Source organism: Homo sapiens, chromosome 8 (assembly GCF_000001405.40).
Source record: "Homo sapiens chromosome 8, GRCh38.p14 Primary Assembly".
Taxonomy (NCBI): domain Eukaryota; kingdom Metazoa; phylum Chordata; class Mammalia; order Primates; family Hominidae; genus Homo; species Homo sapiens.
In genome coordinates this window covers 14,174,725-14,188,012 of record NC_000008.11, presented here as the reverse complement: position 1 = coordinate 14,188,012, position 13,288 = coordinate 14,174,725, and the positions used below count along the sequence as shown (strand labels likewise).

At 38.1% G+C, this 13,288-nt stretch overlaps 1 protein-coding gene across 4 annotated transcripts in view, besides 1 other annotated feature; it reads left to right on the top strand.

Annotated features, from left to right (window-relative positions):
- The window catches only part of SGCZ (sarcoglycan zeta), a 1,153,587-nt gene that overhangs the window by 1,050,419 nt on the left and 89,880 nt on the right, over nucleotides 1-13,288 (top strand). The window lies entirely within an intron of this gene.
- Nucleotides 3,134-3,303: an enhancer, noted in NCBI's record as "experimental_101852 CRE fragment used in MPRA reporter constructs". NCBI's record gives its function as "activates a minimal promoter by MPRAs in K562 erythroleukemia cells, with activity observed for both the introgressed and non-introgressed 8:14042304 variant alleles {active_cell/tissue: K562}" and the evidence as "EXISTENCE:reporter gene assay evidence [ECO:0000049][PMID:34662402]".

Here is a 13,288-nt window from a genome sequence, read left to right as displayed (position 1 = left end):
CATTGTTTCTGATGAGAGGCCAGCTGTTAACCTTATTAAGCATTCCTTATAACCAATGAGTCATTTTTCTCTTGCTCCTTTCAAGATTTTCACCTTGTCTTTGGCTTTCATCATTTTTATTATGATGCATCCATGTGTGGGTCTCTTTGTGTTTATCTTATTTGAATTTCTCTGAGTTTTCTGAATGTGTACTTTATTGTTTTTCAATAAACTTTAAGGAATTTTTAGTCATTACTTTTTTGAATGTTTTCTTCTCCTTTCCTCTACTCCGGTATTCCTATTACACACACGTTCACATTCTTAATGGTGTCCTGCAGTTGTCATTTTTTTCATTCTTTTTTCTCTCTACAGATTTTATAATCTCTATTATCTTTAATATCATTAATTCTTTTTTTCTTCCAGTTTAAATCTACTGTGGAACACTTTAGTGATTTTTTTCAATCAGTATATTTCTCAACTCCAGAATTTTCATTTGATTCATTTATAATTCCTATATCTTTGTTGATATTCTCCATCTGATTAGACATTTCATCACACCTGCATTTAATTCTTCAAAATAGTTGTCTTCAATTATTTGAACATATTTATAAAGTTTACTTTGAATTCTTGGTTAAGTCTGACATTTGCTCATTCTCACAAGCAGTTTCTGTTGCCTGCTTTTTTCCTCATCTATGGTTCAGACTTTTCTCGGGTTTTTAAAACATTTATCTCATAATTTTGTTGAACATTGGAAAATTTAGGTAACATATTTTGAGAAATCTGGATAATCCCAACTCTGGATTTCCTCACTCCCCAACTCTTAGAACTTGTTTACTTGTTTGTTTAATGATGAACTGGATTAATTTATTAAAGTCTGTTTTTATCCTTTGCCTCTTCCCTGACCCACAGTTCCTCAGAGGGTACAGTCTTAGGCATGTGTACTCAGCCACCTTAGAATGACAGTGCTCTCTTTGACTTCTCTTTCCCTGACCCAGACCCAGCTGATAATCAGCCAGCAATTGGTAGAGTTTATCAATTGTTTTCAAGAATGATCTGGGGCATGAATTGCTCCATGGACTGATGCAGTTAAATCCCAACTTTTTTCCAGGAATAGTTTCTCAGCTCAGTTTTGAAATTTGTTCTGACTCAGAGCTCTTAACTGTCTCTTTGCCTGGCTCTCTCACTAAACTAGCTACCCTGTAGCCTAGCAATATGTCTCCGATGAAGTTTTGGTCTCCTTTTAATTACTTTCATCACAACATTATTTTATAAAGTACTTTTAGGTTTGAACTTCTTCTAGCACTGTGGCAAATAAAGCTTTCATTTGAATAGGCTTCAGAACCCCCTGTTTTACAGCCTGCCTCTCTCCTTGCGCAAAATGTCTGCACTATAGCTGTGTATCCGAAAGCAGAAAAAGTGGTAAGTTTCTCTCTCAGTAAAATCTCTGCTTAGGAACTAAGCACTTGTTATAGTAGGGGTTGGGGAGTGCCTTTAGTCTTCTTGTCTAGCCTATCGTGGCCTGGACCCTCCATCCTATGAAAGAACCAGGGCCAGGGCCATGGATTTAAGAAATGTTGACATCTCCCTCTGCTGGGAAAATACTGTGACATAGATGAAGAAGGATTCCTGTGTTCTTGGCTGCACCTACATAAAGTGGAATTTCCATCACATTAGGATGGGGTGGGAAGGAAATAGAGAGATTCATGGCTAAAATGATACAGTCTCTCTCTGCTTCTGCTGTTTAAAAAATTTTCTTCAATAAATATTTCTTCACTTGCTGCATGTCCTTTAGACCATTTCCTGAAACATTAAATTGTTGTTTTCAAAATGATTTTAAGCTGTTTTACTGGACGGCATGTTAGCCAAGCTTTCACATTGTCATTACAGAAAAGGAACCTGAGACAAGGAACTCTAGTAGTAGAGCGCTAAATTACTGGGGAGCCCTGTGGCCCCATTCCCTGAGAAGAGGATTATAGAAGGAAAAAATAAATTGGCAAGTGTGTGCAACTCAAAGGTTGTATTGGGACAAACTAACATCCAATGCCTATTAGATATCCAAACTAATCATATGATTAGAAACGCAGATTCCAAGGTGAATATTACTGGACATGGTGAGAATTTGGGATTCAACATGTAGATATTATTTAAAGCCATGAACCTAAATGAGAACTCCAAGATAAATGAATATAAGTAGAGAAGGGGTCTGCTCAATTTCATTTGTTTTTCTTTTGTGCTGGAGACTTTTTACATACAACACAGTTTAAGAGTCTTTACTGTGAGCTCCAGGACATGTAAATATTTAGAGAATAGAAAGACGATGAGTGAGCAGGGATATAGACCAAAACAAAACAAAACAAAACACAACAAAACAAAACAATGGGTAGTAAGATAGAAGAAAAGTCAAGAGAATATGATTTCACAAAAGTACTATGAGAGGAGCTTTTAAGGAAGAAGACAGTTTTTGAATGAGTCAGATGCTAGTGAGAAAGATCACATGAAATGAGGTCTGAAGCCACTGAATTTTGAAAAAAAATAAAGTATATGGTAGATATTGATTAGATCAATTGAAGCTGAGTAATGAGAATGAAAGCCAGATTTTTTGTTTTTTTATTTTATTTATTTATTTATTTTGAGAGACAGTCTTGCTCTGTTGCCCAGGCTGGAGTGCAGTGGCGTGATCTCGGCTCACTGCAACCTACGCCTCCCTGGTTCAAGCTATTCTTCTCCCTCAGCCTGCGAGTAGCTAGGACTACAGGCATGTGCCACCATGTGCAGCTAATTTTTTTGTATCTTTTTAGTAGGGATAGGGTTTCACCATGTTAACCAGAATGGTCTTGATCTCCTGACCTCGTGATCCACCCCTCTTGGCCTCCCAAAGTGCTGGGATTACAGGTGTGAGCCACCGTGCCTGGGTGAAAGCCAGATTTGATTGAATGCTTGACGTGGAAAAATTTTGTAGTACAAATACATAACTAAAGCATTTGCTGTATTATAAAGGTTGAAAAGAAACTTAAATGTTATAAAGTCTAATTAAAAAACAAAATTACTACCCCTTAGTCAATATTAGACGATAGAGACATAATGATAAAAAATTTTATTGCTATACCAATCATAAGTGTTGTGGTGCTATATTTTATAAGATACTAAATCTTCATGCTCTAATGTATTCTGGTATAGTTTTAAGTTAGAGGGGCACTTTTGTTAAACAAAATTTGCTCTAGTAATATCAGGTAAACTGATCCAAAATCATGAAAGATTAAGCCCACATATGGAAAAACCATAGTTTAAGGTACTTCTCTTCTTAAACACTGCTTTCCTTTATTTGGAAAATATCTGTTTTTAGTCCAAAACTATGCTAGATACTTTTAAATAATGTACTTTTGAGGACCCATAGCTTGACTGTGATGCCTCTAGTGAGGAAGTAGCATTGATAACATAATCAAACAATCCGTGTAGGTTTGGCTTTATCAGCTCTGTACAGTGTTTAGTAGTTCCAATATATAATAATCTTCTTTGATACAGAAACTTTATATCTTATTCATTTCAATACATTTATCATTTAGCCTAATAATGCCTGAAATATAGTGGATGTTTAATAAAGAACTTTTCAATTGATTGATAATTAATACTCTGGATTACATAAGACTAAAAATCATTTAAATATGACTTCAAGATAAATTAATGCTTCTTGGTTTCTAATTTATGTCCAGGCCATAAGTGTATGAGTTATAAAGATGCTATTGGGGGTGGGAATATTTTAGCTCCTGCTGATATGAGATCACAGATAATCTGTACACATTTGCCCATGTAAAACTACACTCAGATCAAAATCCTAAAATCAGTACTTATTCTTAAATATACTGGAATTTGTTAAATTTTTAATCATTAGAATGATTTTTTAAGATTCTTTGTTACTCGTGGAATAAATTTACATTATATGAAAATGATGATGGTTTTACCTGTAATTCTGTTGTGCATAATGCACATAGCATCATTTACCTTTCGTTTTCTAATATAAAATCGATATTTATATATTGGCCTTGTATTCAGAGACGTTGCTAAGTTCACTTCTTAACTATAAGTATTTCTTTGTGGATTCTTTGGAATTTTTTTACATAGAGAGTCATTTCATCTGTGAGTAATTTAGCTTTGTTTATTTCTTTCCAATTCTTATAACATATTCAATACTTTTATTCCATTCTAGTTTTATTCCTCTGGTTAGGACCTCCAGAATAATGCTTAATATAACTTAACAATAGGCATTGTTTTCTCCTTTCTTAGTTTACAGGGAAACCTTTCAATATTTCATTATTATCAAGTGTTTAATACGTATAGGTAGATTAGAGGTTAAGCTGGCAAGCTTGGTAAACGCTTTTCTCATGGGTGGTGTTAAATTTTGTGAAACAATTTTTGTAACTATGCTGAGATAATATTCCGTGTTCTCTTTCAAACTCTCAAGGTAGTTAAAACATTTAATGATTTTCTAGTATAAACCACCTTTACATTCCCAGAGTAAATATAATGTGCAGATACTGTGCATAGGATTTTTATTTTATCAGCAAAATTATCTTGTAATTTTTATTTCATGTACTATCTCTGTTGAGTTTTGTGGCAAAATTCTACTAACCTCATGAAATCTGTTGGAGAGTGTTTCCCATTTTTATTCTGTTCTCAAGAAGAGTTATGATTTTCTATCATTTTCTTCCTGAAAACCTAGAATCTGTGTGTGTGTGTGTGTGTGTGTACATGTAAAAATTTTTAACTATTTCTGTAGTTTCTATAATACTACAGGAGTATCCAGGTTTTCTATTTCTGATTAAGTCAATTTGGCAATATTTTGTAGGCATCTACTCATGTCAACAAAATTTTCAGATTTATAATGTTGCCATGAAATATTTGTACCATTTTAACACCTGTAATATTTGTAATAATGTGTTTTTTATTACTATTTATTTGCAAATGTTTAATTTTTTTCTTAATCAACTTTACGACACATTAGTAATTTTTTTTTTTTTTTTTTTTGAGACGGAGTTTTGCTCTTTGTTGCCCAGGCTGGAGTGCAATGGCACGATCTCGGCTCACTGCAACCTCTGCCTCCTGGGTTCAAGCGATTCTCCTGTCTCAGCCTCCCACCTAGTTGGGATTACAGGTGCCTGCCTCCCCGCTCAGCTAATTTTTGTATTTTTAGTAGAGATGGGGTTTCACAATGTTGACCAGGCTGGTCTTGAACTTCTGACCTCAGGTGATCCGCCCCCTCTCGGCCTCCCAAAGTGCTGGGATTATAGGCATGAGCCATCATGCCTGGCCATACATTAGTCAGTTTTATTGCTTATTATAATCTACTTTTGTCATCACTGATCTAACAAATTTTATGCTATATTTCATTTCATTAATTCCTTTTCTTGTCTTTATTATTTTTTCCATCTACATTGTTATGAGAAAACCTTCGTACTATAATATTCTCTTCCCTTCTGCAGATTGAGAAGGAGCAGAGACCAAAGAATGAGTTGGACAAGTCCAGCTGGATGAGTAGATGAGTAAGGCTTCCATACAGGGCACTCCTGGATGGCAACAGGACAGCTTTGGAGATCCTCGCTGCCTCCTGTCTCTAAATTGCTTTTTAGCTAATTTTCTGGCTCTATGCCTACTGTGCTTGAGCAATAAGACTGGATTTCCTGGTTGGTTCTCAGATGCTCTCCAGGATGTATGGATTCTCAGGGAAACCTGCTGCTCGGCTGGGCATCATGGCCTTGGCTCACTGCACAGCCTTCAGGGTTCAATCAGTGGACATATGCCCTTAAGCAAACTTGTGTGGAATCTGTAGCACTACAATCCATACTGTTCTCTAGATTTTGCATTCTTTCCCCCAATTTTGTGTCAGAGTCCCTGAGTAGAGTATGAGAGGAAGAACTATACAGGCCTATAAGTGTACCCATGGCTTATGCGTACAGGCCACATATACAGTATACATAGCAGCATGCAAAGGAGAAACTAACTATATTTATGATGCCTGCTAGTAAAACATATCTCCAATTTGAGGTTAGGTATGTAACCAATTTGAGAATGAGTCAGAGAAACCTAATTGGGTTAACTCATGGCTCTGAGTTAACAAATAATTTAAGGTGTTTGTAAAATTACTGTGTTTATCAGGGCTATAATTGTAACAGGTGTATTAGTCTGTTCTCAGGCTGCTAAGAAAGACATACCCAAGGCTGAGTAATTTATAAAGGGAAGATGTTTAACTGACTCACAGTTCCACATGGCTGGGGAGGCCTCACAATCATGGCGGAAGACAAAGGAAGAACAAAGGGATGTATTACATAGCAGCAGGCAAGAGCGCTTGTGCAGAGGAACTCCCGTTTATAAAACCATCAGATCTTGTGAGACTCATTCACTACCATGAGAACAGTATTGGGGAACCACCCCCATGCTTCAGTTATCTCCATCTGGCCCCGCCCTTGTCACATGGGGATTATTACAATTCAGGGTGAGATTTGGGTGGGGACACAGCCAAACCATATCAACAGGTAACGCCTTTAAGAGCTTATGTTGGTTCTCTGTTGATTTGGGGATGGGGGATGCCCACCTACCTCTGGGTGGATGCAATCCCCAGTGAGTCTGAGTTGTATTACTATTTCTTTTTAAACAGTCACTTTAGTTCTGTCATTAGAAAAGCAGAGTATTTTAAGGCACACCATTACCATTTGATAGGGGGAGGTATCAATATACCCAACAATTGAACTTGTTGCTGATTGCTGTTGTAGTCACAGACCAATTCAGAAAGATATTTTCAGCTCCCAAGGTAGGAAGAATAACCACCTATGGTTGAAAACACGGGTATTTAGTAGGGACCCTCATAAATGTATCCATTTTTGTAACATTATTACCATTGGGTTTTCTCCCGTTGGCCCTATTAGGGAGACTACTGTGGGCCTCAGGCCTGGCTTAGACTATCACACATGGCTTCCCTCCCTAGGAGGGGGCATAATAGCCGCTTGCTAAATTCAGGCCTTGCAAACGGTATCGACTCTATGACTGCTCTACAGGTATTGGTGCTGCCTCATGTTGATATTGTAAGCCTCTTAGATTTCTATCAAGTATAGCTGGAACCACCTCCCTTCTGGTAGTCTTCATGGCACTCCCCACTGCCGTAAAACCAATCTAGTATGGGGGCACTGTCCAGCTCAAATTCAGGTTCACATAGCCATCGCCACTTGGCAGATCCATTGGTGTTCTCAGGAGCACAGTCTGGCCACCTGCTTCAGGAGCATGGCTTGGAGTTTCAGAGGTAACCCTGAGGGTTTGTCAGGCCTGTTTTAAAGGCCATGACAAACCTTCATAGGGAGTGATGCCATGTGTGGTAGTAGGTGACTTATTTTAAGTTTGTATCCCTTTAGGGAGATTCTTAGTCCAGGGCCTTAAAGAGCACTCCTGGAACAGTACTGGCAATTCGGTTTTTAACAGGTCATTTTTTTTTTCTTCAATGAGACTGCGCATGTTGGGTTATATGATAAATGGGACTTCCAGTCTATATTTTGTTCTAGTGCTCAGTGTTGGATACGTTCTTTCTAGACCCATCAGCGTACCAGGCCCTAGAGTTATTAGTGGGGTCCCCATATGGTGGTTGGCCTGGTAGGTGGCTCCACTGCCATGCTGGCCCCCTCCCCGCATTCAGAGTGGATAGGTCCAAGCACTTCCTGCAGTGCTTGAAGGACTAGTGATCAGGACACTCCTTTGTTATAGATAAGTGTGTCATTTCTGCAGGGTGTGTAATTATGCCACCCTGGAGGTGGGCTTGGCTAGGAGGCCTTCAACTCGCCCTCACCCTTTTATGGGATTTTTATTGTGACAGACTGTTTTTGGTGATGGGCTCCACTTGTTGCATTGCCCTATACATGGCCAGTAGTCGTTGCTCTAAGACTGTATGGTGGGATTCTGCCTCCTTCCATAATTGAGACCAAAACCCTGCAGGTACCATTCTCATTGGTTATTTTTGCCACAAATCGCAATATATCCCTTTGGCATCTCTGGTGACTTCTAATACAAAAGAGTGCTGTGGCAGAGAGGCCCCTAGTGCTTGGGCCGGTTTCACCAATATGTTTGGTTCATCAAATACCTCTTGCTCTATATGTGTCCAGTGATGATTTTTTTTCACTTTTTATTTATTGGGGTGTATAATGGGTAGAGGGTTTATACCAAGTGAGGAATGAGTATCTTCTAGCAGCCCAGTAAGTATAGGAATACCTGGAGTTAGTTTTCTGTCTGGGGAACAGGCTGCTGTGTGCCATGTTACCAGTGACAGCTTAGAGTATGTTACATGTCTTACCCAAGTGGGAACTCTCAGGAATTTGATGACTGTGCTCAGCCCCTGTATCTTTTGGGGATTACCTTCCCATTTCCTGTCTTTTACGCCATCCATGACTATTTGTAGAGCAGTCTCCTGATTTGTAAGAGACTCTGAGGTTAGCATGTTATCATTAATATAGTGAAACAGGGAGACTGAGGTGGGCAAAGAGAGTCTAGACAGGTCCTGTGCAACCAGACTGTGACAGACAGTGGGGATGTGCAGGAACCCTTGTGGTAGCTCCTGAAAAGTCCACTGTAGGCCCTCCTAAGCAAAGGCGAACTGGTCTTGTGAATCTTCTGCTAAAGGGATACTAGAAAAGGTATTAGCCCAAGTCATTCACAGTGTGGATGCTTTCCAGCCTAAGGACCACTTGTTTTAACAATTGAGCAATATTGGATACGGCTGCATGTACAGGGGGCACCACATTGCTTAGGTTATGATAATTTCCCGTCATTCTCTAGATGCCATCTGGCTTTTTCACAGGACACATGGGACTGTTGAGAAGGGGGCTTTGGGCTGACCTGACAATTTGTATCTTACATAATTTCTGGATTGTTTGGGTGGTTTTAGAGTGTCCCCCTGGCAGATAATATTGTTTTACATTTACTGCCTGCCTTGGCCGGGGCAAGTGTACAAGCATCCATCTCCTTTTTGTTTCCTGATTACCTTATGGACTCAATCCTTGTCTTTAGCTCAATGAGGTCTGCCAGTGCTTTCCTCCTATCACAGAACTGATTTCCCATTAATGGGCTCAGAAGTGTGACCAATGCCTCATGTCGTAACCCTTTTTACATTGGAAATGACCTAGACATTTAATGAGTTCCTAAAATAATTTTAAGCTTTTGAAGTACATAAAAGTTTCTCCTGTAAGCATTTATCTCATTTACATTTACTCAATTTATTTATCTTTAACAGTTTATCTGTATTATTCATGATAACCTAGACATTAGACAAAACTAGTCATCATTCCAAGTTATTCTCCTGTTAACCATTTGTGTAGCCTGTGAATATCAGGTGTTTACCTAAGCAAGAAGTTTAAACACATGGGCATCTTTGCTGGTGATTCAGAAAATTCAGCTGTTCTCACTTAACCAATAGTATCAAATTAGTCTTGCTTATCAAAATATCCAACAGACAAACATCCAATAGCCTTTATCTCAGAACTCTAGTCATGAGAAAGCATCATAAACTCATTATTTTATAAAAGACAGCTGGATCTAAATTATTTCTAACAAAATTTGGACCTGTTTACATGGTTTGCTAGCCTCAATAGGTAATCTAATGACGGCTATGGACCAAAATTTTGAGTAAGGCAGTTGCTATAGCAGTTGTATTCTAAAAACCTCTTTTACTTTTTATTTCCTTTAGCTTCAAATGGTTTCAATATTTACATTTAGCTAGAACTGACTGAACTGTATAAGAAAAACAAAATCAGCCAGGTGTGGTGGCTCAAGCCTGTAATCCCAGCACTTTGGGAGGCCAAGGCAGGCAGATCACCTGAGGTTAGGAGTTCGAGACCAGCCTGGCCAACATGGTGAAACCCCATCTCCACAAAAACACAATTAGCCGGGGGTGATGGCTCATGCCTGTAATCTCAGTTACTAGGGAGGCTGAGGCACGAGAGTCCCTTGAACCCAGGAGGCAGAGGTCGCAGTGAGCCGGGATCATGCCACTGCACTCCAGCCTGGGTGACAGAGTGAGACTTCGTCTCAAAAAAAAAAAAAAAAAGAAAAAAAAAGAAAAGAAGGAAAAAAGAAAAATAAAATCTCCAAGTGGCCTTGAATTGGCAGTAACATTGAGTTTTATCTCAAGACCAGTAGTTTAAAAACAGCAGATTCAAAGCAGATAGAAAAGGAAACAGAGGGCCGGGCGCAGTGGCTCACGCCTGTAATCCCAGCACTTTGGGAGGCTGAGGCGAATGGATCACGAGGTCAGGAGATCGAGACCATCCTGGCTAACACGGTGAAACCCCGTCTCTACTAAAAATACAAAAAAAAAAAAAAAAAAAAAATAGCAGGGCGTGGTGGCGGGCGCCTGTAGTCCCAGCTACTTGGGAGGCTGAGGCAGGAGAATGGCATGAACCCGGGAGGCGGAGCTTGCAGTGAGCCCAGATGGCGCCACTGCACTCCAGCCTGGGTGACAGCACGAGACTCCGTCTCAAAAACAAACAAACAAACAAACAAACAAAAAAGGAAACAGATAGCTTTAAAAGATTTTACTTAACTCTATACTTGTAGGTTAACCGTTTGAGCGCTGATTTGTTGTTGTTGTAACTTGCTCATCAGTTAAATTATGTTCACAAGAAAGGGCCGTAATATGTAACAATCTGGAGTTCTAGAAAACCTGTCATGCGTTCAGTCTTTTGCAGGAGTTTCAATCCTTTCTCCCTTCCCTGCTCTCAGTAGCCAGCCTTATTGCAACAACAGCACATTTGGTATTCTTATGGTTAATATCGTAGCTTTTTGCAATAGGTGCCCAGTCCCCACTGGCATTTTCCAAGTGTCCCCATACTCATCTGGCAACCCACAGAAGTCAAGCAGCGAGGCAACTCCACCCCACAGGCATGTTGCTGACCACTCCAGGATTTCCCCCACAGATGCTCCTTCCCAGTGACTCATCGCTTACTCTCTACGATCCTTGTCTGTATACCAACCGTTACACAAAACCTTGGTGATGTAACGTGTCCTGCTCCCAAAGTAGGAAGGAGCTCAGAGACCAAAGAATGACTTGGACAAGTCCAGTTTGATGTGTTCTTGAGTTTATTAGGACTTACATACAAGGCACTCCTGGATGGCAACAGGAGAGCTTTCAAGATCCTCACTGCCTCCTGTCTCCAAATTGCTTTTCAGCTAATTTTCTGGCTCTTTGTCTACTATGGTTTAGCAATGAGACAGTTTTGCTTGATAGCATCTCAGATACTCTCCATAATGTTTGGGGTCTGACACCTGCTCCTAGGCTGGGTATCGTGTTCTTGGCCCCCCACCCACTTGAACCTAGCCTGATCCAAGCAATGGACATATGCCCTTGAGTAACCTGGTGGGGGAGAGTTTATACTGCATACATTTTGAGAATTTATATTTTTGTCCTTTTATATTTATTAGTTTCTAACTTCTCAACTTAAATGTTGGACTATTAATATTAAGACTTCTAATACAGTCATTTGAGGACATACATTTCTTTGTCAGTACTGACTTGGTAATATTTCCCAAGTTTTGACAATAATATTGTAATTATTCAGTTTGAAACACTTACTAATTACAGTTATTTAGAATTTGGCTCATGGCTTATTTTAAAGTTTTTAAATTATAAACATAAAAATTAGTTACTTTTTGTTTTTCATTTCAAAATTAATTATGCTGTGGCCAGATAAAAAGTTTTGTAATTTCCATGATGTAATATGTTAAAATTTGCATTATGCCAGAATTATAACCTGCCTTGTAAAATATTCAGTTGAAAAGAAGTACTTTATGGCATATTGTTGGACTAAGGGTTCTGTGTAGGACCAGTATGCTAACACTGATGATAATGTTTTGTTTCATTATTTACTTTTTTGTTTGTACTACTGAGAAAGCATTTTATAATCTCCTATTAAGATTCAGGATTTGACAATTTCTTTTTGTTCTTTGGTCCAATGTTGCTTTGTGTTTTGAAAATCATACATTCATAATGATGCAAAATTTGAAATAGATTCACGGTGATTCTAGTTTTTGTCGTTATGGAATAACACCTAATAGATATATTAATGCTTTGTAACTACAGGTATACCAGTACAGTTTCATTTGGTATTTGCATAATATATCATTTCTTATCTCATCAATTTAATTATTTTTGAATTTTATGTTTTAGTCTTGTGTGATATAAACTACCAATGATTGGATTTGGTTTTATATCCAGCTAGATTATAATTGACTTTTAACCTGGAGTGTTTAGTCCATTTGTATTTAGTGTAATTAGTGACATATTTGAGTATTTAATCTCCTTTTCTACCTCCTTTTTTGTTTTGTTCTCTTGCCTTGTAGCATTTTTTGGATTGCATGTTGTTTTTATTAATAGTGTTTTTAAACATACTAATTTAGATTCTTCTATTATTTTAGTAGTTATGCCAAAAGAAAAAGTAAAAATTTGATTTACCAAAGTCTATTACTTTGTATCTTAAGATGGTTGGGGATAATGCAACCTCAGAATGCATAACCTCTAATTTATTCTTTTCCAAATTTATATTCCATTACTTATGGGCATTTTATTTCTCTATATTTCTCAAACTACGACATTATTATTGCTTTTTATATTCAGTACTTCTTACATCTACTCATATTTTTCCACTATAATTAAAAAGAATTCCTTCCCATGTCTCTGATTTTTGAGCTGTCTTCATTTCCTTTTTTATGAAAATAGTCCTTTATAATTTTCTTCACATAAATTTGTTCATGATTCGTTCTCTCAGGTTTTATTAGTCTGTAAATATCTTTGGCCATTCAACCTTGGATGATAATTTTGCTAGACATAAAATCCTAGAGATTGGCATTTAAAAATTTTTTTCTTCTAGGGCATTGAAGACACATTTTATAGGTTGAATGATATGCCCCTCAACCCACCCCAAAATTAATATGTTGAAGTCTTAACCTTCAGTACCAGAATGTATCCTTATTTTGGTATAGGTTCTTATTTGGCAATAAAAATATCCAAGTTAAAATGAGATTAATAGGGTGGACCATACAATATGACCCCTGTCCTTGCAAAAATCAGGAAATTTGGACACACAGATCCATCAAAAGGGAAGATGATGTCAAGAGATATTGGAAGAAAAGAAGTCCAGAACAAATCCTTTTCTCAGAGCCTTTAAGATGGAAGCATTTATGCTGACACCTTTGTTTTAGACTTCTAGCCTCCAGAATTGTGAGACAATACGTTTGTATTGTTTAAGCCACCCAGACTGTGGTCTTTATTACAGCAGCCCTGGCA